Below are 23,928 nucleotides of genomic sequence, written 5' to 3' on the forward strand. Positions count from 1 at the left end.
AATGACCATAGGCTATTGAGGAAGTATGTTGCTGTTTACCTACATTTAAAGAGCTTAAGTCTGGACTTAGTATTTGAATTTTCTCCATCGATTGCCATCTTATCTCTGCCTTTATTGGTCCACCTTCTAATAGCTCCACTTCACTTCCTATTTGCTGTTTTTTCTCTGCTATGGATTAAAAGCATCTGATAAGAACCAAGCCTATGAGCGAGGGCCTGAGTATTTTACCTACAAATCGATTGAGTTTTAGGAGCTGGCCTTTGTCATTTCATTCCTGACAAGTTCTCATGTGATGCTGATGCTGATCAAGGAGCCACACTGTGAGAACTTATTAGAGCTTCCCTAATAAGTCATCTCTACAAATGCAAATATTTCTTCCCTTAGTGCAGGAAGCCAGTTTGAAGGCTTCTAAATATACCTTCGCTTTGAGAGGATGTTTGACCTAAAGGAAAGGATGCTTCCTTTCTCCTGAACAAACCCCTTTAGGGCCCTATTTTCATCTTTGGAAATTTTCTAAGTATTCAGTACAGTATCATATTCCCTGCCCCCAGATTTATGTCACCTACTTATTGGATGGATAAATAAATAAGGGTTGTATAAATGCACATAAATGATTGAGCACTCCCCATAAGCTGGATACTAAGTAGATGTTTTCATCTGTCATCTCCTCTAATCCTCACACACACCTTATGAGCTGGGAATGAATAGCTCATAGTCCAAGCTCAGGAGGGGAGAGTCAATGACCCACTCATTCAAGGTCATAGTAAGTGGCATAGCTGAGATTCCAGCTCAGATCTTCAGACCCCGAGGCCAACGTGCTTTCCATTAGACCACAGTTACCGCCTTATTAAGAGCAAACCAAATGTTGGGGTGCAAGGAAAGATAGCAATTCAGTTTTTAAAAAGACAAATCCACAGCAAGCATAATGGCACCTCCACCCTACACCCAAACCCATGGTAGACGATGTTCTTTCCTGCTGCATATGAACAATCTCAGATCTTTTTCTCTAGAAGCCGGAAAGAATTAGAAGAAGCACAGAATATAAACCCACATGACTTAGCTTCACTTATCTGGAAATTTCACTTGGTGGTGTCTCACTGAGAAACAGTTCACTAAGGGCCAGGTGTGGTGGCTCATGCCCGTAATCCTAACCCTTTGGGAGGCTGAGGCGGATGGATCACCTGAGGTCAGGAGTTCCAGACCAGCCTGGACAACATGGTGAAACCCCGTCTCTACTAAAAATACAAAAATTAGGTGGGCACGGTGGCAGGTGTCTATAATCCCAGCTACTCAGGAGGCTGAGGGAGGAGAATTGCTTGAACCCAGGAGGCAGAGTTTGCAGTGAGCCGAGATCGCGCCACTGGACTCCAGCCTGGTAGAGGGAGACTCTGTCTCAAAATACGTATATATATATATATTTTTTTCTAGCATGAGAATGATGAAACTCTTCTTAAAACATTTTATTTTCTTTTTCCAAATAGTTGTTTCTAACTATAAAAGTAAAACATGTTTATTACAGAAACGTTTGGAAATTACCACAAGTATGAAGAAAAAACTTTCTTTCCCTATGGGGAAGGTAGACATTCTGTAGAACTGACAGATTCTACCTTATCTATCCTACACCAGTAATTCTCAACCAGGGGGCAATTTTGCCCCTCAAGTTGACATCTGGCAATGTCTGGAGGTATTTTGGGTTGTCATAGCTTGGGAGTGCTGCTGGCATCTTGTGGGTAGAGTCCAGGGATGCTGCCAAACAGCCTGCAGTGCACAGGACACTCGGCCTCCTGGTCAGCAAACTGTTAGGCAGCCCAAGATGTCAGCGGCACCACGGTTGAGAAACTGTTTTAGATTACAGCACACGTAAAGGAAGGATTTCTGGTTCCTTGCAGATGTTTGCTGCCTCTCTATCACATTAGTAAAATTAAGTTGAGGGAACTGAAACTGCTGGCTTTGGGTCTGTTTCTGGGTGCGCACACACGAGCTGCAGAAGTCTCACTGGTTTCAGTTATCTCTGGCTGCAGAACTTTTTTGTTTTCTTCCAGCCCAGACGACCTGAAGAAGCATAGATGCTACCCATAGATGAACGTGGCCTTTGGCTCTGCTCACACAGTTTCTCTTTAATCAAAGAAAGACCACAGTAAAGGATATTTACAAGGAAAGGGAAAGTGAAAGGGCGCGGAGAGAAGAGCAGAATCACCAAGGAAAACTCCTCCTACCATGGTCTCTGCAGCCAGCCTCCTTCTCACTGATGTCGGTGTTCTCACGATCCTTTTGCTCCTATTATTTAGTGACCTCGCCACTCTAAGTGTGGTGTCCAGTGCAGCAGAATTAGCACCACCTGGCATCTCCTTAGAAGTGCACAATCTCAGCCCTCCCCAGACCCTCGACTCAAAACTCTGCATTTTAACAAGATGCCCACGTGATTCATCGTATGCACGTTAACATTTGAGAAGCACTGCTCTGAGGTTTCCAAAAGGCAAAATAAAACTGCAGAGTGAACAGCTGCAAAACAGATGCAAAGTTAATCACGTGGGATCACATACGACTCCTCCAGGGGATTTATGACTCTCTGTGGATGGTAGCTGGTAATACAGAAAACAGAAATTTGAAGGAATATGTGGAAAAAAGTAAATGCTGTGCTGCAGCCCTTTGAGTGCCCTAAAGGGATTCACCTTGAGTTAGAGGAAATGCCGTGCCTAACCCCTGAAATAGTTTCATGTACCCTATGAGAGCTCAAGTGTTTGGTGCTTTTGTTTGGGGGGTTTGTTTGTTTTCATTAGGGAACAGAGAATTTATACTGGTGTTCCATGAAAGAAGAGAGATCTATTTGATTAGTATTTCCAACATAGCATTCCACAATACCAAAATTTGTAAGAGGAGTTGATATACGTTTTTAAATAACCTAGAAAATAAGTTAAGGCGAATGGGTCCGGTTCAACTTCAGGTCTGCTTTCAACCTACTCAAATTGGATTGATGTTGTTCATTCAACAAATATCAAGTCTCAGGATCTGTGCAAAGAAGAACTTCAAGGAAAGCAGCCACTAACAGCTGCAAACCCCTGCCATCGCTGCAGACAGCCCATGACAATCGAGGTGGGGAACAGATCTGCTGGGGAGGAGGGTAGGGCCGAGGGCGCAGCTACAGGAAGGAGCAAGGGGGAGTTCTGCACGCCCTTGTGGGTTAGGAAGCTGAGCTCACTGCAGAAATCAGCCTGGTCCTGAACCCTGGACCTGAGCTGCGTGGGGTACAGGTTCAGTCTGACTCATGCACTGGCCTGCGGAACAGACCACAACTCTGCCTGGTGAAGGTTTTCAAAGAACCATGTCAGCAAGTCCTGCTGCCTCCTCAGGCTCCGGAGCTGTGGCCCAGTTTAAGGTGAACAAGTCCCACAAGTCCCACAGGTCTGACTCCCATGACCATGTCCGGAAGCAGCCGCTAGAGGCTGCACTTGGTCCCTTCAAGGAAGAAACGAAAGGGCCTGAGCAAATTTGCAGCTGGCTTTGTTCTGCCTGGAACACTCTGTTCTTTCCTCACATCCTCCCGCCCCGCTGAGGGCTCTCTACACAGGCCTGCAGGAGATCACATGCCAGCCTGGAAGTTAGAGCACCCCGGGGCCTCTAAGTTACCAAGGGAGAGCTGGATGTGCCAAGTGGCCTCCTAAGGGACACTGCCTGGGGGCAGAAGGTTTTGGTTCTCTGATGAGAGGCAACTGTCCTCTGACTTCACTAGGATTCTGAAGCCCAGAGAACCGATTCAGAGAGAGGGCAATCGAGCGAGATGGAGACAGAATGGACCCAAATACTGTCCAAATGTTCAGTGTTCAGTGAGCCGGCTTCTGTCACAGTGAGGTACCTGAGGCGGGGACTGCTCCCCGGGAGGGTGAGTGGGAGTTGACTCTGCAGGGGGAGCTGAGTGGGGAGAAATCAATCAAGCAGAAAAGTGAAGCAGAAGTTTCTAGAGGCTTGCCCCACCTACCAGAGGAGTGTTCAGAGGTGCTTGAACTCTTAAGGTCACTGGACATTTTTAACTGGGGTGAGGACTCGGACAGATTCACAACAAGGCAAGCAGCAGAAAGTGGCTCCTGAAGTGCTTCTTGAGAAATGTGAGCCAACACATGACAATCACACACAACACCTGAGAGATGCTGGCATTGCTATAGGGAAGGGGTATGACCCACCCTTTGGGAGCACCCATTCCCCCTACCCCGCCCCGCTCTGTGTTTAGTGCTTTCTACGTTCCATTGTTAGTGATGTTCAGTGACCTCACAGCCCGGTGGGGCAAATATAAATATCCCCATTTCTCTAATGTGGAAAGTAGGACTGGAAGAGGTTAAGTAACTTGCCAGGGTCAGCTGGTAACAATGACAGAGCTATGATGCTTGTTTGTTTGATTTGGCTTGTAATCAGGTAATATAGTCATATGATTCAAAAATCAAAACCGTAGAAAGGGGGCCAGGCGCGGGGGCTCATGCCTGTAATCCCAGCACTTTGGCAGGCCAAGGTGGGCAGATCACCTGAGGTCAGGAGTTTGAGACCAGCGTGACCGACATGGTGAAACCCCATCTCCATTAAAAATACAAAAATCAGCCCGGCGTGGTGGCATGTGCCTATAATCCCAGCTACTGGGGAGGCTGAGGTAGGAGAATCTTTTGAGCCCAGGAGGTAGAGGTTGCAGTGAACCAAGATCATGCCACTGCATTCCAGCCTGGGTGACAGAGCATGACTCTGGCTCAAAAAAAAAAAAAAATCAAAACTGTAGAAAGGTATACAATACAAAGTCTCCTGTCTGCTGACCCCCGGATTGTCAGTTTCCCCCATCTGTCTCCTTGCCACAAACACAGGTAACCACCATTTGTTCCTTGTATACTTTTAGGATTTCTTTTTTGTTTGTTTGTTTGAGACAGAGTCTCTCTCTGTCGCCCAGGCTGGAGAGTAGTGGCACTATCTCAGCTCACTGCAAGCTCCACCTCCTGGGTTCACGCCATTCTTCTGCCTCAGCCTCCCAAGTAGCTGGGACTACAGGCACGTGCCACCACGCCTGGCTAATTTTTTGTACTTTTAGTAGAGACGGGGTTTCACCGTGTTAGCCAGGATGGTCTCGATCTCCCGACGTCGTGATCCGCCCGCCTCGGCCTCCCAAAGTGCTGGGATTACAGGCATGAGCCACCGCGCCCGGCCACTTTTAGCATTTCTTTATGCATATTCCAGTTAATAGAGTACAAAGTCTTATTTTTCTCCATTTTTACACAAAACATGGCATACCGTGCATACCGTTCCATGCCTTGCTTTTTTTTCTTTCAGCACATAAAGAGCTTGAGATCAACAAAATATCTTGAGATCTTTTCATTACCAGCACATAAAGAGCTTCCTCATTCTTTTCATTTTGCAGCTGCACAATATTCCATTGCATGGACATACCGTAATTTAATGGAGCAGTCTTCTGTTGGTGGACATAGGGTTGTTTCCCGTCTTTTGCTACTATAAACAATGTTGCAGTGAATAACCTTGTACCAGCATCATCATGCACATGCCAGAGCCAGGAGCCCACATCTATCTGGATCTAAATCGTCTAGGTTCTCTCTACCCCAAAGCTGACACAGGACTGATCATATGCCAGCTTTGGTAGATAAATGCTCATATCTCTCTTCCCACTCCCACCCTCTATCTTCCTATTTTCTTTTCCTGTCTGTTCATATTTGAAACAACTACAAAGACTCCAGACGGAGAGTTCTTGCCATTTTATCTCTTTCTGTGGTTGCTTTGCTTCATTCTTTAAATACCGAGTCTGACTGTAACTGGGCTGTACCAGAGACAAAATCTACAGATGTTCTTCTGCATAAACATGGAATTTCAGCTACCAATGGGATCACAGTGTCTCATCCATGTGCCAGGGAAGTGCAAATCCTGCATACTGTAGCCCACAACAGGCTTGGATCCCAGCTTAGAACTGGAAAAAGACCTGCTAGAGGCAGCCTGCTGCTACGGAAGCCAGCATTTGTCTCCGTTTCTGGCTGTTGACCTAAAGGGACATTAAATGAATAGTGACAACATTAGGCAGGTCCAAGAAAGTCTATCTCTGGGAAAGAGAAAATCCATCACCCAAACTTTCATCCTTGTCATCTGTGGTCATTTTGTCATTATCTATCTATCTATCTATCTATCTATCTATCTATCTATCTATCTATCTATATTTTTTGAGTCAGAATCTTGCTCTATTGCCCAGGCTGGAGTGCAGTGGCACAATCTCTTCTCACTGCAAACTCCACCTCCCGGGTTCTAGCAATTCTCCTGCCTCAGCCTCCCTAGTAGCTGGGAGTACAGGCACCCCCCACGCCCAGTTAATTTTTGTAGTTTTTTTAGTAGAGACGGGGTTTCACCATATTGGCCAGGCTGGTCTCGAACTCCTGACCTTGTGATCTGCCCGCCTTGGCGTCCCAAAGTGCTGGGATTACAAGTGTCAGCCACCGCACCTGGCTTATCTATATTTATACCTAGATTTTCAGACTCACCTTTTTGGCTTTTTATCCCTCAAAATAAGATTTGGCAATTAGAGAACTCTAAAATAAATAAATAAATAAATAAATAAATAAATAAATAAAACTGGACGTAGGTTGTTTTTAGTCATGTGATTCTGACTATCGCCTGCATGGTGGACTGAGAGATGGGTTCACTCTGTTTTGGAGACATTTCCACTGGACTGCTCTTTCTTGAGCACTTACTGCATACCAGTTGCTCTGTTGATGAAGGATATAAGGCCCAGGTGCTCCTCTCCAAAAGCAGATTCAGACACTTACCAAATATTTTCAAGGCAGAAAGAGACATCACTTCAAAGTAATATGGGCTATGATATAGGTAGAGAAGCATGCCCGGGATCTCCTTGAGAGGGGGTACTTAGCCTAGACTGGGGAGAGAGAGGAGGAGAAGCAAGCAGTTCAGGGAGGCTTAAGATGCTTGAGGCCGGGCACGGTGGCTCATGCCTGTAATCTCTAGCACTTTGGGAGGCCAAGGCAGGTGGGTCACAAGGTCAGGGGTTCGAGATCAGCCTGATCAACATGGTGAAACCCCCTCTCTACTAAAAATACAAAAATAAGCCAGGTGCGGGGCCGGGCGTGGTGGCTCACACCTGTAATCCCAGCATTTTGGGAGGCCGAGCTGGGCAGATCACGAGGTCAGGAGATCGAGACCATCCTGGCTAACACGGTGAAACCCTGCCTCTACTAAAAATACAAAAAATTAGCCAGGCATGGTGGCGGGCACCTGTAGTGCCAGCTACTCGGGAGGCTGAGGAAGGAGAATGGCATGAACCAGGGAGGTGGAGCTTGCAGTGAGTCAAGATTGAGCCACTGCACTCCAGCCTGGGCGACAGACTGAGACTTCATCTCAAAAAAAAAAAAAGTGGGGTGTGGTGGCGCATGCCTGTAATCCCAGCTACTCAGGAGGCTGAGGCGGGAGAATTGCTTGAACCTGGGAGGCAGAGGTTGCAGTGAGCCGAGATTGTGCCACTGGAAAAAAAAAAAGATTCTTGAGTAAGCCCTGAGGAGCCAGCAGGAGGTGCTCAGGCAGGAAAGGTAAACAGCATGGCCAAGAGCAAGGGCCAGAGCAAGGAAATAGTCGCCAAAATGTAACTTATTTTTCTAAACACCGGAAAAATGAAATAGCAAACTAGTAGCCCACATGAAGCAAATTTCAAGGGGGAAAATGGAGATAAAAATTCCTTAAATATCAGCCGTTCCTCTGATCTTTTAGACAGGTCGTCAGTAAGAAGCTCACCCTGATCCTCTCCACCAACCTCGGGAATGCTTTAGCAGAGAGGGTTCCAGACGAGCTTCCCACAACGGACTCAGCCCTTCTGTTTCTTATCTCTGACCTTTGACTGTTTTCTGCTAATTACAAGGAAGGCCTGAGCTTGCATTTTTACAACTGCCGCCAGCACTCAGAACTCATACAATCCCTCTGTATTTCCTTCCAGCTGTTGACTATCAAAAGACAAGTCAATAGCCTCCTGGAATCCTGTAGGATGGTCCGTTTTCCCTAGGAATGGGGATACCATGGAAAGACTGCAAAGCCCAAATCACTGTGTAAATGTAACCTGCCAGTGTTGCCATCAGAATAATGATCACTGTCATATCTCCAGGTATTCATTCGTCTGCCAGATGTGGTTGAAAATTAATACATCAGAGATTCTCTTTAAAATGTGGTCTTTGGTTGGGTGTGGTTATACACCTATAATCCTAGCACTTTGGGAGGCAGAGGCAGGAGGATCACTTCAGCCCAAGAGTTCAAGACCAGCCTGGGCAACATAACGAGACCTCATCCCTACAAAACATTTTTAAAAAATTAGCCGGGCATGGCGACATGCTTCTGTAGTCCCAGCTACTCAGAAGGCTGAGGTGGGAGGATCGCTTGAGCCCAGGAGGTCGAGGCTGCAGTGAGCTGCAATTGCACCACTGCACTTCAGCCTGGATGACAGAGCCAAACCCTGTCTCAAAATTTTTTTTAAAAATTTTAAGGTGGTCTTACAGATCATCTTTCAATAATAATAACACCAGTAGCGATACTTAACATTTATTTAAAGCTTACTATGTCCCAGATATTGTCCTAAGCTCCTTAAATGTTTTTTCTATTTTAATCCCAAGACTTCCTTCTTAAAGCCTGACATGTTGCCTAGTCAAGATTCAAGTGTCCTTGGGTTCAAATCCCAGCTCTGACCACCTACTATTTTGGTAATGTCTCTGAACCTCAGTTTCGTTCTCTATGAAGTGGCCATAGTAATACCTTCCCCCTAGAAGTAAAGGAAATCATCTAGATTAAAGCACCTGATACAAACAGGCTCACAGTGAATATTAGTTACTTTCCCCTATACAGCCATTTTTATTAAAAATGCTTCTATTTTCAAATAATTTAAGATGAAAGATGTAATTAAATGTTTTAACAAAGATAGAAATCAATTGTATCACATCATTCCTCCAAATAATAGAAGGAAAATCTATTGAGTGTGTTCATCTTCTGGGGTCTATATTTCTTAAATAAGTCTATGAATATAAGGAAAGAAATATATGAGCACACGCCTTAGGGCCAGTTAAGGAAATATTTCCTAATCTGGACTCTATCCGCTCAGGGCTCCCTGCCCCCACACCCCATGAAATCATCAGAAAAGGAAAGAGATGCCTGGGCCCTGAGATCCTACCCAATTATAGCTCTAGGTGTTAGGGTCATGTGGAAGTGGCAGGTTTTTGAAATGCTGACATGCTGACACTTAAGCTCATGGCTGGATCCTGTTATAGCTCAGAGAAAGTATATAAAGAAGTTGGCACTAGGTGAGATTTCAAAAAATGAAACGATGCCCAGCATGACGTAAGTGGTGAGGCTTGAGGACAGAAAGGCTGGGGTTTGAATCCCAGCTTCACACTTTCTCACGTGTGACCTTGAGCAGGGATGAATAATGTATTGTCACTGTATACTCCATCTCTTTGCTCACCTGCAAAATGGAGGTAAGAGCATCCTCTTCACAGCATTATTGTGCTCAACAAATGTGCATTCTCTTCTCCTTTTGGTCAAAGGCTTGGTCCATTTGAATCTATCGAGACTCCCAGCTCAGCTCGGCTGCAACCCTGAACCCCTAGTCAGTTGCTGGAAATGTACCTCCAGGCACTGTTTTGTGGGCTTTTAAAAAGGGATCTGCACTGGGATGATTTCCAGGCTCTGCAGCATGTGTCTGTCCACGTGGAGGATGTTTCCCTTCTCAGCTCCTGCTCCGGGGATGTTACCTCGGCTGGCATCTAGCTCATGAACCACGGCAGGGCAGTCACACCACTGTGCTCTCTGCTTCCAACATCCTTTTTGTTTCTAAAGGTAATAATGGGCTTTAATCTTTCTGGAAAATGCTGCCGTCTCCAACTGAGACTACCCCAGTCCCTTTAGTGCTCATGCTTAGGACTCTCAGTCTCTATCTATTTCCTACCCCACAGCCTTTGCTTTCTCTTGCATTTCCTGAGGCGTTTCCCTCTCCTTTCAATGACTGTCTGGATTTCTCATTCTCTTTGTGTTGTTTTTCCTTTGCTGCCTCTTGGGGGCCAAGGTTAAAACCCCGCTCCCTCCTTTTTCCATTGCTCATTCTGCTATTTTCATTCCCTTATCCTTTCTCTCAAAGCAACACAAGAAAGAAGTACCTTGAAAACACCTCACAACCACTCAGCTGGTGGCATTAAGGTTAAGAACTACTGAGCAACTGGATCTGCAGCTACCTTTGTGTTTTACACCAACTGGTATGCAAACATCAAACAGAATAATGGAATTATTAGTATTAAAGATTTCAAGCTGGGCACAGTGGCTCACACCTGTAATCTCAGCACTTTGGGAAGGCCAAGGATGGCAGGTCACTTGAAGTCAGGAGTTTGAGACCAGCCTGGCCAACATGGTGAAACCCCATCTCTACTGAAAATACAAAAATTAGCCAGGCATGGTGGTGCAGGCCTGTAGTCCCAGCTACTTGGGAGGCTGAAATGGCACCACTGCACTCTAGCCTGGGTGACAGAGTAAGACTCTGTCAAAAAAAAAAAAAAAAAAAAAAAAAGATTTCAATTGAATCACATCTTGATAACATTTACAAACAATAAACATACTAATACTATTTTATGCCATTGACACTCCAGAATGGTCCACCCTGGTCAACACTTTAAAAATGCCACGTTGCAGTGAGCCAAGATCGTGCCATTGCACTCCAGCCTGGGCAACAAGAGCGAAAACTCCCTCTCAAAAAAAAAAAAAAAAAAAAAGCCATGCCCACCTCTGCAGTGCCTACCGGGAATCATACAGGATGAGCCTTTTTCTTGGTCTTAGGATGAGCCTTTTTCTTGGTCTTAGTTCTTCATCACTGTCTTTTTTTTTTTTTTTTTTTGAGATGGAGTCTGGCTCTGTCGTCCGGGCTGGAGTGCAGTGGCACAATCTCGGCTCACTGCAAGCTCCGCCTTCTGAGTTCACGCCATTCTCCTGCCTCAGCCTCCCGAGTACCTAGGGCTACAGGTGCCAGCCATAATGCCCGGCTAATATTTTGTATTTTTAGTAGAGACAGGGTTTCACCGTGTTAGCCAGGATGGTCTCGATCTCCTGACCTTGTGATCCACCCGCCTCGGCCTCCCAAAGTGCTGGGATTACAGGTGTGAGCCACCACATCCCGCCTAGTTCTTAATCACTGTCTTTGACTCCTTCTTTATGCTTCATTTCATCCAGGCCCAAGATTACATCTACAGGAATAAGGATCCACAGGAAGTAGTATAAGAACAGAAACAAGCTTTATGAAACCTGGGATTCAGAGGCTGGAACAAGAGAGGTTAGGTTCAGTTTATTTTGAATGACCAGAAGCTAACTCTTCCACTTTCACCGTCTAATAAGTCTCTGAGTTAGGAAGCCTTTCACTTTCCTATTCTCAAGGGCAAGAGTGAAGGATTCTAGATTATTACTAGAAAGGTGTTGATGGACTGGGCATGGCTCACGCCTGTAATCCCAGCACTTTGGGAGGCCAAAGCGGGCCGATCACTTGAGCCGAGGAATTCAAGACTGACCTGGGCAACATGGTGAAACCTTGTCTCTACTAAAAATACAAAACTAGCTGGGTGTGGTGGTGCATGCCTATCGTCCCAGCTACAGGAGGATCACCTGACCCCAGGAGGTCAAGGCTACAAAGAGCCATGTTCATGCCACTGCACTGTAGCCTATGCTACAAAGTGAGATCCTGTCTCAAAAAGAAAAGGTATTAATGCATCCAGGACTAGCCTTACCAATAAATGTGTGGTGCGTGGATAGGCCAGCTGGTTTAAAGGAACAAGATCAAGGTGGACATCGCTTGATTTCATATGCGTTGCCTTGAACCACCCTTCAGATTAAATACCTACTGTGACCATGGCTCACACCTAGAATCTTTGTACTCTAACTAGACATATTGCCTGTAGTCCTTCCCCGTATTTCCTGGACCCTAAACCCCACTATTTTCCCACACCCTATCCCATGGATGGTGTTCTCACTCAACTTGCCTCCCAAGTGGGACCCTGACACCAATCACAAAACACACTCACACTCCACCACACACACACACACAGACACACACACACACACACACACACACACACACACACACTTCCCTCTTTCCCCTCTGAATCCCTTGTACTGCATCGACAGCTATTTCATTCACTTTGTACCTAAATACTGCCTTATGACAATCTTCTGTTGTTAAATGAAAATTATTTATGAGCTGTTGTGCTCCTTACCTCATCACAAAGCTGTGTCATGATAACCTTCCCGTCCTCCACAACATCAACATAGCATTCCTTGCACATGGCAAGTAATTGATGGATATTTGTGGCTAGTCACCTCTTCATCTGATGAATGACTCTCTGGCTCCTCTGAGTTTGGCCTGTCATCTTCAGAGAGGGTCTGGCAGTCTCTAAAGAGGTAGCTGACACTTGGAAAAAGAAAGAGATGCAACTAACTAAGGCTTTAGGACTCCTGTCATCTGGGGGAGGTGAGGGCCTGGTGGCAGAGCCTCCACAAGAGTAACTCCCTGTTTATCCACTGTGTACCAGGAGGCTACAGAAACAGGAGAAGAAAACAGGAAAGGACATCATCACATACTGTAACTCCAAAATATTTATTTACTCAGACAGGCCTCCTCTCTTATCCTACAGACCAGAAGGGAAGTTCCTCCTCCCTTTGGAAAACAAGACTCCAGAGTGGGAAGAAACCCATGGCCTTGGCACAAAGCTCTGCAAGACGTAAATGTACTCTGTGTAGAAGGCCTTACACACTGAAGGCTGCCCATAAAGGGTGAATGAATGAATGAATGAGAGACAGAGAATTTGTGTGTGTATGTGTGTGTGCCTCTCTGTGTGTGTGTGTGTGTGTGTGTGACAGAGAGATAGAGATTGAGACTGGCAAGTATTCTCTAAATAGATCATAGGTCATAAACTTCCAGCTTGTAGACAAGTTGGATTTCCCTAGAGAACTATAATAATAATGTTAGAAACTGCAAATATTTGTTCTTTTTATGTGCAAGGCAGTTATAAATGCTATACATGCACTAATTGATTTCACTGGCACAGTTTTTTGATGTTGATTCTTTTATTACCTTCATTTTGTAAATGAGAAAATTTAAACACAGAGAGGTTAAGTGACTTCCCCAAGGCCACACAGCTAGTGAGTGGTGAACCTGGGAATATGGTGGGAGAGATGTGGAAATTAAAGTCAGAGAAATTTGGGTTGGAAGCTTGGCCCTATCATCTATTAACTGTGTGACCTTTTGCAAGTTATTTAAATTCCCTGAATCACATTTGCCTCATTGGAAAAATCAAGTTAATTGTATCTACATCATAGGGTTGTTGTGAAAGTTGGATGAGTCTTGGGACTTTGAGTTTCCTGTAGTTGAAGGACTAGTAATTTAGACCAACTCTCCTGCTGAAAATAACTAAGCATGCTGGATAATTCTCTTTTCATATTTGTAAAAGCATCAAATTGCTGACAGGATGGTAAGAAATTCCAGCCTCAAGTCTAAGAGAAAGCAAGAACCCAGAGAAATAAGTGGAACATCAAAGCCACCTTTCCTGTGAAGGCATTTGTCCATCTGAATTCTCCAAGCTGCAAAACTGAGCTGTGGTTCTGATGGACTCTGGAAGCAAGAACACAGAAGTCAAGGCTAGGGATTACCAGGAATTCCACAGTCACCTCCTCAAGTCCGTGTGAAGCAGAAGTAAACTGGCCCCTCCCACAACACCCCATGGGGTGATGGAAAGTGAGGTCTTGGCACCAATCAGAGTCAGGGAGAAAGAAAAGAAAAAAGGCCAGGCACAGTGGCTCACGCCTGTAATCCCAGCACTATGGGAGGCTGAGGCGGGCGGATCACGAGGTCAGGAGATCGAGACCATCCTGGCGAACACGGTGAAACTCCGTCTCTACTAAAAATACAAAAAATTAGCCAGGCAAGGTGGCGCACGCCTGTAGTTCCAGCTACTCGGGAGGCCGAGGCAGCAGAATGGCGTGAACCCGGGAGGCGGAGCTTGCAGTGAGCAGAGATCGTGCCATTGCACTCCAGCCTGGGCGACAGAGCGAGACTCCGTCTCAAAAAAAAAAAAAAAAAGAAAGAAAAGAAAAAACACTGATCTCTAAGAGGTTATAACCATGGGCTAGCATTTTTTCAGATTTGGAGCCCAAGTCTGCATCTGTAGTGTGGTTCAAAAGCTCAAGCTATGTATTTAAAATAGTACTGCATAGAGAGAATGATGAGAAAGCAGGAGAAGAGGCACAGAGATTGGGAGAGCCACTGAGGTAGACACATTTATATACCATGTTCCAGCCGCACTGAAATAATCTCAATCCTTCACATAAACACCCATGCATACGTTCTCATCTTTGTACTGGTTGTTCCTTCCATTATCAACCATATGATCTCTGGAACCAGATGGCACAATTTCATATCCTGACTCTGGGTGACTTTGGGTAAGCCACTTAATCTCTCTCGTCATTTTCCTCATCTGAAAAATCGGGGACAATTACAATACCTCCTTGTGGTTTGCTGAGAGGATCAAATGAGTTAATGTACACAGAAGGCTTAGTAGATTGTCTGGCACATAGGAGGTAATTATAGAGTGACGGTGGTTGTACTGATGATGATGGTGGTGATGATGACGACTTTCTCAAATGATCATGTACCCTTTATTTATTTGGCAATTTTTATTAATTGTTTACACTTCAGGTAAAATATGACTGCTTCAGGCTGGGTGTGGTGGCTCATGCTTGTAATCCCAGCACTTTGGGAGGCTGAGGAGGGAGGATAACTTGAGGTCAGGAGTTGGAGACCAGCCTGGCCAACATGGTGAAAACTCATCTTTACTAAAAGTACAGAAATTAGCTAGGTGTGGCATGCACCTGTAGTCCCAGCTACTCAGGAGGCTGAGGTGGGAGAATCGCTTGAACCCGTGAGGTGGAAGTTGCAGTGAGCCATAATTGCACCACTGCACTCCAGCCTGGGCAACACAGTGAGACCCTGTCTCAAAAAAAAATTACCTCTTCTGTTAAGCCTTCTCTGCCTCTATGTGCTACAAAACTTTGTGTCTTTCCTGGGGCCCTTATTACACTCCATTGCAATGACGTATTGACATCTCTACCTACCCCTGAGAACTGTTAAGTTACCTAGTCGGGACTAAGTGGTTCTTAGTTGCTAGTACAGAGCTTGACACATAACAGATGCTTAGCAAATACTTGGCGAATTAAAGAATGTATTGGCCGGGCACGGTGGCTCACGCTTGTAATCCCAGCACTTTGGGAGGCAGAGGCGGGCGGATCACGAGGTCAGGAGATCGAGACCCTCCTGGCTAACATGGTGAAACCCCGTCTCTACTAAAAATACAAAAAATTAGCTGGGCGTGGTGGCGGGCGCCTGTAGTCCCAGTTACTCGGGAGCCTGAGGCAGGAGAATGGTGTGAACCCGGGAGGCGGAGCTTGCAGTGAGCCGAGATTGTGCCACTGCACTCCAGCCCGGGTGACAAAGCACGACTCTGTCTCAAAAAAAAAAAAAAAAGTATTGATGATTTTAACTTGCGTTAGTGAACTAATTTTTCCATAGGAAGTTTTTTTTTTTAGTCTCTTAACCCTTATTCTGCACTGACTTTAAACCAAAATCATAAAACGCTGTTCTCCCATCTGAATTGTTTCTCTGGAATGTAAACTTCTCAAGAGCAGCTCCAATATCTTATCTGATTAATTTTGTTGCGCATGAGCCATACTGTGTCAGGAAAATGACTAAACGGCTATAAAAATGATATTGTCAAGAAAACTGGGCTGATGAATCACGAGATCATTGACCAAGAAGTATTCACAGAGTTCTTCCTGCTTATATGGGGATGTAGATTTGAATGGACTTCCTGGTTCTGTTGTATTGATGGTAAAAGCACTGAATTCAGGGTCAGAAGACTTGAGTTAAGGTCCCAGACTCACTCTTTATCTGTTGTGTGACTTTGGGCAAAAATTAGTCTTCCTAAACTTCACTTTCCTCATTGGAAAATAGGTTTAATAATACCTATCATTACAATGAGCCATGATTGCACTGCTGCACTCCAGCCTGGGTGACAGAGTGAGACCCTGTCTCTCCAAAAAGAAAAAAAAAAAAAGGCTGGGTGCAGTAACTCACGCCTGTAATCCCAGCACTTTGGGAGGCCAAGGCAGGCAGATCACCTGAGGTCAGGAGTTCAAGACCAGCCTGAGCAACATGGTGAAACCCCATCTCTACTAAAAATTACAAAAATGAGCTGGGCGTGGTGGCTGGTGCCTGTAGTCCCAGCTACTCAGGAGGCTGAGGCAGGAGAATAGCTTGAACCTAGGAGGTGGAGGTTGCAGTGAGCTGAGATCATGCCACTATACTCCAGCCTGGGCAACAGAGCAAGACTTCATCTCAAAAATAATAATAATTAATTAATTAATTTAAAAATAATACTACCTACTACATAGAGTTGTGGTGAGGCCAATACGTTGGTGCAAAGCATGCAAAAGGGCTTCATCAATGGCCAAGGGCTTTACAAATGTAGCAATGGCAATTATACTTGCTTGTGCTAGTAAGTGCCCAGTTATATTCTTGGTGGCCAGTTCTCATCACTCAATGGGTGGCTTTTCTCAGAAGAGACTTTCTATCCACTTTATGTTTACCACCAAATAAGGTACTTTGCCTGGGAACAAACAGTCCTGGAATTTTAGAGACATCTCTGTTTTGAGAGTTTGGCAAGTGACTAAGCTTGGTTCCAGAGAAAATAGCCCTGGAGGGACCTGCCTGGGGAGCAGGTAGGAGAGCTCATGCCTTTCCCATGACTCAACTTGCTCTGACACATTCATCCACAGTAACATGTGGAGAGAGGGTGTGAGCTGCCTCTGCTGGGTGCCTGAGAACCGAGGAGAGTCTCTCTGGAATGACAGACACTTGAAAACCAGCTCTGAAATCCAATAGAATAACCTCGCCAAAGAGTAAGAGCAATTCCTCCCAACCAGGAGCCCTGTGTTGGACCGCTGGGGTGGGTGTGTTAGAGAGAGCAGAGGGCATTGCCTCCAAGTTATTAAAGACCAGACTCTGCATCCTGGATTTAGAAACATGTTTGCTTATCATTATTCATCTGGCTGAATCCCGCCCTACTCCTTTTAGAAAGCCAAAGAAATTGCATAACGGAATGAGGCGATTTCATTTTGGCATTGCCTTTGTCTAGTATGATCATGTTCTTCAGCTAGAAAGTAAGTTATACATTCGTAGAATAATGAGATACTAGAACTTGGAAAGAATGTAGAGAACATCAGTTTGAACCCACGGAAGTTGAGACTCAGAGATGAAGTGATGTGCCCATGGGCAAGTGGTGAGTGGGACCAGAATCCAGGTGTCTTCACTCTCAGCCCAGATCTCCACCCTCTCCTCCTCCCAGACCAGTGAACCTGGAGAATCCAGATGTTTCTCTTTATCAGCTGTGGTCCAGAGAGAGAGGGTGGATCTAGGTCAGAAGTACAATCTCCTAAGCAAACAACCTAGCACTGCTGCAGAGGAAATTTATTTTGAAACCTCCTACCATGACAAGCTGCATGACTACCATCATCTGTCTAAAGGAGGTTTAGGTTGCCATTACACATATTGGAGTTGCATCAAGGATCAAATATGTCCACCCAACCAGTTCTCCTCCTCATCAAGTCTTCCCCAAGCAGGCTGTCTCTTATGTATAATTTCTTCCAAACTATCCCAGAGAGTAAATGAGTGGGTAAGAAACCAAGATTTTGATGACAATAATCCATATCTCCATTAAACTCTCATTTAACATCTGTGGGCCAGGCACACTTCATTTGGTATCTCGTTTAATCCTCACGATAAGCCTCTGAGTTTGATAATAATAACAATTTACAATTGAGGAAACTGAGCTGGGGGTTAAATAACTTTCTCCAGATCACACATTTAGTCTGTGGTAAAGCCGTGCTGAGTCTTTCTGTCTTCAGCGGCATCAGATCCATCATACTGAAAATTAACAAACTTACTTATATATATAAAACTATATATATATTTATTTATATTTTCATTTATGCATAACTTACACACACACATGTCCATTTCTAAGCAATGCCCTGAAAAAGTTACTGTACTTTGCATACTCAAAAAAAAAAAAAGCATACACACACTCCACTGAGTCTTTCCATTAACCTTCCCACCAAAGAGTGCTTCAAATATTCCAATATGCTGAAAGAGTAAAGGTAGAAGATTCTCCACTCTACCATGCTAGAATCACCTCTGGGTTTAGATCCATTCCTAATGAATGGAGCTCCCCTCCATTCTGGGTCACATAAATCTGCCCTTTCTGCTCTAGAGAAAAATAGTGTCCAAACTTCAAGCTAGTTTAAGATAATAAGTACTATTTAGTAAGTGATTACTGTGTGCCAGACACTATGCTAAGCCTTTTAAATTAATTACCTCCCAATTAATTACAATTGCAGGAAAGAATTACCATTAGTATTATCATCCTCCTAGTTAGCTGGCTAAGTTTCACACAGCCAGTGAGAAACAGAGCCAGCTCATAGCCATCACGCCACAATGACACCCAGCTGTAGAGAGGAGCATGGAGGAGGGTTTTATTCAGACACTAAGGTGGGCTTGGGAGCGTAGACCAGCATCCTCTGCCCTTAATTGTGGAGGTGGGAAGATCCAGTGATTTAAGCTCCAGTAAGAGGTGGCACCATTACTATACTGACATGTGGCACCTGATGGAGTTTCAGGTCTTGTTCAGTGCAACACTACACAGAGATGTGTAGTTTTACTTCTATGTAAGAATTGCCAGGAAGTTCAGATTTACATAAAAAAGTCATAAGAGGAATGGTCCCCACCTTATAGTGGATGAAAGTTTCAGCTCTTCTTCCAACCAGTCAATTTGGGAGACTGGATTTGTTTGTGTTACCAGCACTAGTAACAGGTAATAACATAGACTTGTGATTGACCTCATTTGATTGCTCAAGAGCCTCTTGACTTGTTATCTCATGACCTCTACACAATGCCTTCCTGGTGTGCAGATAAGTCAATGAGGTCACCATCCCACAGGCAGGAGGTTTTTCATTCCACCTCTAGGCTTCTGCTGGGGGTTCTCCTCCCTGCTAATCTCTGTCCTTAGAAACCCTCCTGACTTTTCACATCCAAACCTGGTCACTCCTTCATGGTCTACCTTGGCATTTGGTCAGCAGGCTATTCATAAGCATTTTAAATAACCTCTTTTGCATGTTTTATTTCCCCCAATTAGGTCAAACCTTCTCAAGGACAAGGATTATGTCTGATTTGGTTTCCCATCCATAACACATAGTATTCTCTTCGGGCATGACGGGTTGTCAGTACGGCTTTGTTGACTGACTTTTATTTCCCAGCCTCCAACATAAGGGGAAAAAATTGCACAAGCAAAAAGGGAGGAGAACAAGCAAAAGTCTGGATGTTTGAGCCTTCAGGAAAATAATTTTCTCTGGGTATTTTTGTGTGTAAGTGTCTTGATTGTCAATCACTTTCACCCAAGGATTAAATTACTTTTGCAAACAAAGAGAACTAGGACTCATCGAAGGCCTACTGTGTGCCAGGTTACATTATTTCAACTAACCCTCACAGCCTCTGTAAACAGCAGTAATTGTTTTCTCATTGTGGGTATTGGGACTCTGGAATATTAACTAATTTTCCCAAGGCCTTCTATCTAACAAGGGATGGGGCCTGTATTTAAAATTCAGTTTTATTCCGAAGTCTATGATTTTCCACTCAACTACACATCCCCCAGCTCTGCCCCAGGGTTCATTTACCCATCCCTTTCATTCCTTTCCTTTTTATTTGACAGGTTTATCTGCAAGTTGCATAACATGGACTCCAGGGAAGCCTGGTAATGGCCTCATGGAAAAAGGGAGCAGGGAAGTGGAAAAAAATGAAACAAATTTTCTGAGCTCCCGCTGTATGCCAGGCTGTTACTAGATTCTTTATACTTGGTCATTTATTTACTCATTTTAATGACCTCATTATGCAAATATGAAACCTGAGACTCAAGAAGTCAGTCACATGACTTGTTCAGGGTCCCCCAGCAGGTAAGTGATAGTCAAAATCTAGCCCCAGGGCTGTCTAACATCAAAGCGTGAAAACGCAGTTTCCTAGAAAAACACCAAGATTCTACTCAAGTAGTGGACTAGGTTTTCAGAATTTAGGACCATGTCTCTAGAATGTTGTCAGTCCCCATAGGTAACAGGTCAGCCTAAGTGGAACAAGACTCTAAAAGCCTTGAGCTTCTGACACTGGGGATGTCAGGCACTTGTGATGTGGCTCACTAAAGCCCACGGAGGAAGCACAAGAGGTCACAGTATAAAACCAAACATCCAGCCACCCTTGAAGCTCTGAGAGCTTGTGAATGCGCTGCTCACATGTCCTGTGTAGCGACAGGGGACCTCAATCCAGGACTCCCACTGAAGGAGCTTACGCTGTCCGTAGATTGTCTCTTAGGGAGAAATCTGTAATCTGTTATTAACCACCCTTTGGGCATGGAGCAAACTGCATCAACAATTTATGCAATATCATAAAAGAAATTATTTTTAGATCAGTGATATCATGGATACTTGCTGCTTTCTCTACTCTGCAGTCAACACCCCATATTTCCTCGGGGCCCCACCTTCCACTACTGTCAGTATGTTAACTCTCCCTGTGACTCCAGGGTTAGGCAGGTGACTGAGCCCAGCCGTTCAGAGCCATATGTTCCCGATCATAGTCAAGTGTTCAGATGAGCCCAGATGAGCCTGTGACCCAATAAGATGCACTGAGTCTTTTGCTTGGCCTGCTGGTAAAGAGGCACTCTTTCTTCCATTCTAGGTTTGAACTCTGCAGGATGTTGGCCTGGGGTTGCTGATAGCCATTCTACCTCCACATGGAACTAGAAAATAAACCACCACAGAAAAAGCAGAAATGCACAATGAACTAGGTCGTGTCCCAATGACGTCGTTTGACCCCTGACTCCAGCCTGACCTGGACTTTTCAATTCCTTGAACTAATACATTCCCTCTTCTTGCTGAAGTCACGGTGAGCCTATTTTCCTATCATTTACAACAAAAAGAGTCCTGACACAATGACTTTTCAAAAATCGTCACTCTCCCATGAACCTTTGGAGCGTCAGGGTTAATGATATTCTGATACAATTTACTGTTTCCATGTCTTTGCTTAACTATCTCTTTCTCAGTAAGGTCTTTCCTGACGACTGTATTTTAAATTGTGATTCCTTCCAGCCCAGTCAGCCTAGTCCCCGTCCCTTGTTTTTTTTTTTTTTTTGGTTGTTGGCTCTGTGTGTGTGTGTGTGTGTATGTGTGTGTGTGTGTGTGTTGATCCTGGGTCTCACTCTGTCACCCAGCTGGCATGCAGTGGTGCAATCATAGCTCACTGTAACCTTGAACTCCTGGGCTCAAGTGATCTTCCTGCTTCAACTTTCCGAGTAGCTGGGACTACAGGCATGCACCACCATGCACAGGTAATTTTTAAATGTTTTTGTAGAGATGGCATCTCACTATGTTGCCCTGGCTTGTTTCAAACTCCTGGGTTCGAACAATTCTCTTGCCTCAGCTTCCCAAATTGCTGGGATTACAGGCACAAACCATTGCACCCCACCCCACTGCCCTGCTTTTTCTTTTACTTATCACTATATGATATGCTACTTATTTTACTTACTTGTTTTGTTTATTATCTGTCTCCTGTAAGTAAGTCATAAGGGCAGGAATTTTTTTTTTTTTTAGGCAGAGACTCTTTGTGTCACCCAGGCTGGAGTGCAGTGGCATGATCTTGGCTCACTGCAACCTCTACCTCCCAGGTTCAAGCAATTCTCGTGCCTCAGCCTCCTGAGTAGCTGGGATTAGAGGCTCCTGCCGCCACGCCCGGCTAATTTTTGTATTTTTGGTAGAGACGGGCTTTCACCATATTGGCCAGGGTGGTCTCGAACTCCTGACCTCAGGTGATCCACCTGCCTCGGCCTCCCAAAGTGCTGGGATTTCAGGAATGAGCCACCGTGCCCGGCCTGGAATTTTGTTGTTGTTGTTGTTGTTGTTGTTGTTGTTGTTCTATTTTATTCATTGCTATTGCCTACATAAAGCCTGGCACATGTCAGGAAGTTCAATGAGTGAATGAACATTTGGCGAGTAATACATCTAAGTCCTCTCGTGGCCTTTATATTCAGACTGACTCGGGTTCAGATCTGAGCTCCTCAATTATAGGTTGCTTAATGCTATGCACATTACTTAATCTTATTGAGACTTAATTTCTCACCCCAAAACACAGTGCAATAATTTCTGTCAGAATTGTGAGATTAGATGAGGTCATAACATCCTACACTTGCCTGCCACGTTGTAGGCTCTCATTTTATACACTTGGGGTGACCAACTAGAGTGAGGAAGAGAACCCACTAAATTGATATGTCAGGAGATCTTGCTTATCTTTTGTGAATCAGTGATGGCTGATGAACAACTAGGGATATAAAGGATATACACGTGGCTCCATGTGAGAACCAATATTTGTGGCCTGTTGTTAGCACACTTGCCTAGTTTTACAATGACTGATCCAAGAAAGAAGACATTTCTTTGGATGGTCTGGAAATTCTGGTGGGACACAGATGATAAATTGCTGGCTCTTGGCAAAAGATGACATGACTCTTATTATCTGATTATTTACTTAGTGTCATGGCCTGTATGTTGTAGCCTTCCAAAATTCATATGTTGAAACTCCAACCCCCAGTGTGATGGTATTTGGAGACGGGGCCTTTGGGAGGTGATTAGGATGAGATGAGATCATGACGGTGGGGAGATCATGACGGTGGGGGGATCATGATGGGATTAGTGCCTTTATAAGAGACAGTAGGGGGCTTACACTTGACATCCTCCAACTGCCAAGCCATGTGAGGACAAAGCAAGAAGGCAGCCATCTGCAAGCCGAGAAAAGAGCCCTCATCAGAATCTGACCATATGGACACACTGATCTTGGGGTTCCAGCCTCCAGAACTGTGAGAAAATTAATTTGCACTGTTAAGCAGTTTGGTTATGTCAGCCTGAGCTGACTAAGACATTTAGGTACTCTCCCTTTTGCATTGGACCTATACAAAATGGGAATCTGGGCCAGGCACGGTGGCTCACGCCTATAATCCCAGCACTTTGGGAGGCCAAGGGGAGAGGATTGCTTGAGCCCATGAGTTCAGGACCAGCCTGGCCAATATAGTGAGACAGGTCTCTATATTAAAAAAAAAAATGTTAATGGGAATCTGTATAATACAATGGCAAAGTGAGAATAAAAAATACCAGGACCAAGGAAAGTGCACTTTAGCATAGGAGTATAGGTGAAGGGGAAGAGCAAGTGGTTGATAAGGTGATACAGATTTCTAGAAGTGAGCTGTGAATTTAGTTTTAAGCTTTGAGTTGACCAAGGAAAAGAGATAGAGAGAGAGAGAGGGAGAGAGAGATTATAAAGGTCAGTAAGGGACAGAATCTCATGGCTTAATGTCTATGAGTTGATAAACTCTTAGAGTTCAAGGTAGCGCCAGTTATTTTAGCATCCTATAAGGTATAACTATCTGACTCCTTCATTCTGTGATTGGTCCCTTAACAAACATGCCCAAGTGAATACATTCAAAGGAATACCTTGAATGTAATATCCAGCTGCCACCTTATGCTCATCATGCTTAATGAAATGTCCCTGGTTTTCCCTTTCAAACTGTGGCAACTTTTTTCTTTCCTTTTTTTTTTTTTTTTTTTGAGATGGAGTCTTGTACTGTCACCCGGGCTGGAGTGCAGTGGTCTGATCTCTGCTCACTGCAACCTCTGCCTCCCGGGTTAAAGCAATTCTCTTTCCTCAGTCTGCTGAGTAGCTGGGATTACAAGTGCATGCCACCACGC

At 44.6% G+C, this 23,928-nt stretch overlaps 7 annotated features.

Moving 5' to 3' along the window:
• Window positions 1,726–1,915: an enhancer, noted in NCBI's record as "active region_10007". NCBI's record gives its function as "activates an Ori minimal core promoter by ATAC-STARR-seq in GM12878 lymphoblastoid cells {active_cell/tissue: GM12878}" and the evidence as "EXISTENCE:reporter gene assay evidence [ECO:0000049][PMID:35858748]".
• Window positions 1,976–2,305: an enhancer, noted in NCBI's record as "active region_10008". NCBI's record gives its function as "activates an Ori minimal core promoter by ATAC-STARR-seq in GM12878 lymphoblastoid cells {active_cell/tissue: GM12878}" and the evidence as "EXISTENCE:reporter gene assay evidence [ECO:0000049][PMID:35858748]".
• Window positions 2,507–2,676: an enhancer, noted in NCBI's record as "experimental_42066 CRE fragment used in MPRA reporter constructs". NCBI's record gives its function as "activates a minimal promoter by MPRAs in K562 erythroleukemia cells, with activity observed for the introgressed 15:85873684 variant allele {active_cell/tissue: K562}" and the evidence as "EXISTENCE:reporter gene assay evidence [ECO:0000049][PMID:34662402]".
• Window positions 3,359–3,438: an enhancer, noted in NCBI's record as "active region_10009". NCBI's record gives its function as "activates an Ori minimal core promoter by ATAC-STARR-seq in GM12878 lymphoblastoid cells {active_cell/tissue: GM12878}" and the evidence as "EXISTENCE:reporter gene assay evidence [ECO:0000049][PMID:35858748]".
• Window positions 3,529–3,838: an enhancer, noted in NCBI's record as "active region_10010". NCBI's record gives its function as "activates an Ori minimal core promoter by ATAC-STARR-seq in GM12878 lymphoblastoid cells {active_cell/tissue: GM12878}" and the evidence as "EXISTENCE:reporter gene assay evidence [ECO:0000049][PMID:35858748]".
• Window positions 8,965–10,164: an enhancer, noted in NCBI's record as "CDK7 strongly-dependent group 2 enhancer chr15:85880057-85881256 (GRCh37/hg19 assembly coordinates)". NCBI's record gives its function as "activates an origin of replication core promoter dependent on BRD2, BRD4, P300/CBP, MED14 and CDK7 cofactors, with strong dependence on CDK7, by STARR-seq in HCT116 cells {active_cell/tissue: HCT116}" and the evidence as "EXISTENCE:reporter gene assay evidence [ECO:0000049][PMID:35650434]".
• Window positions 9,255–9,756: an enhancer, noted in NCBI's record as "H3K27ac hESC enhancer chr15:85880347-85880848 (GRCh37/hg19 assembly coordinates)". NCBI's record gives its function as "activates a minimal SCP1, AML or CMV promoter by ChIP-STARR-seq in primed H9 embryonic stem cells {active_cell/tissue: H9 hESC(primed)}" and the evidence as "EXISTENCE:reporter gene assay evidence [ECO:0000049][PMID:30033119]".

Source organism: Homo sapiens, chromosome 15 (assembly GCF_000001405.40).
Source record: "Homo sapiens chromosome 15, GRCh38.p14 Primary Assembly".
NCBI lineage: Eukaryota > Metazoa > Chordata > Mammalia > Primates > Hominidae > Homo > Homo sapiens.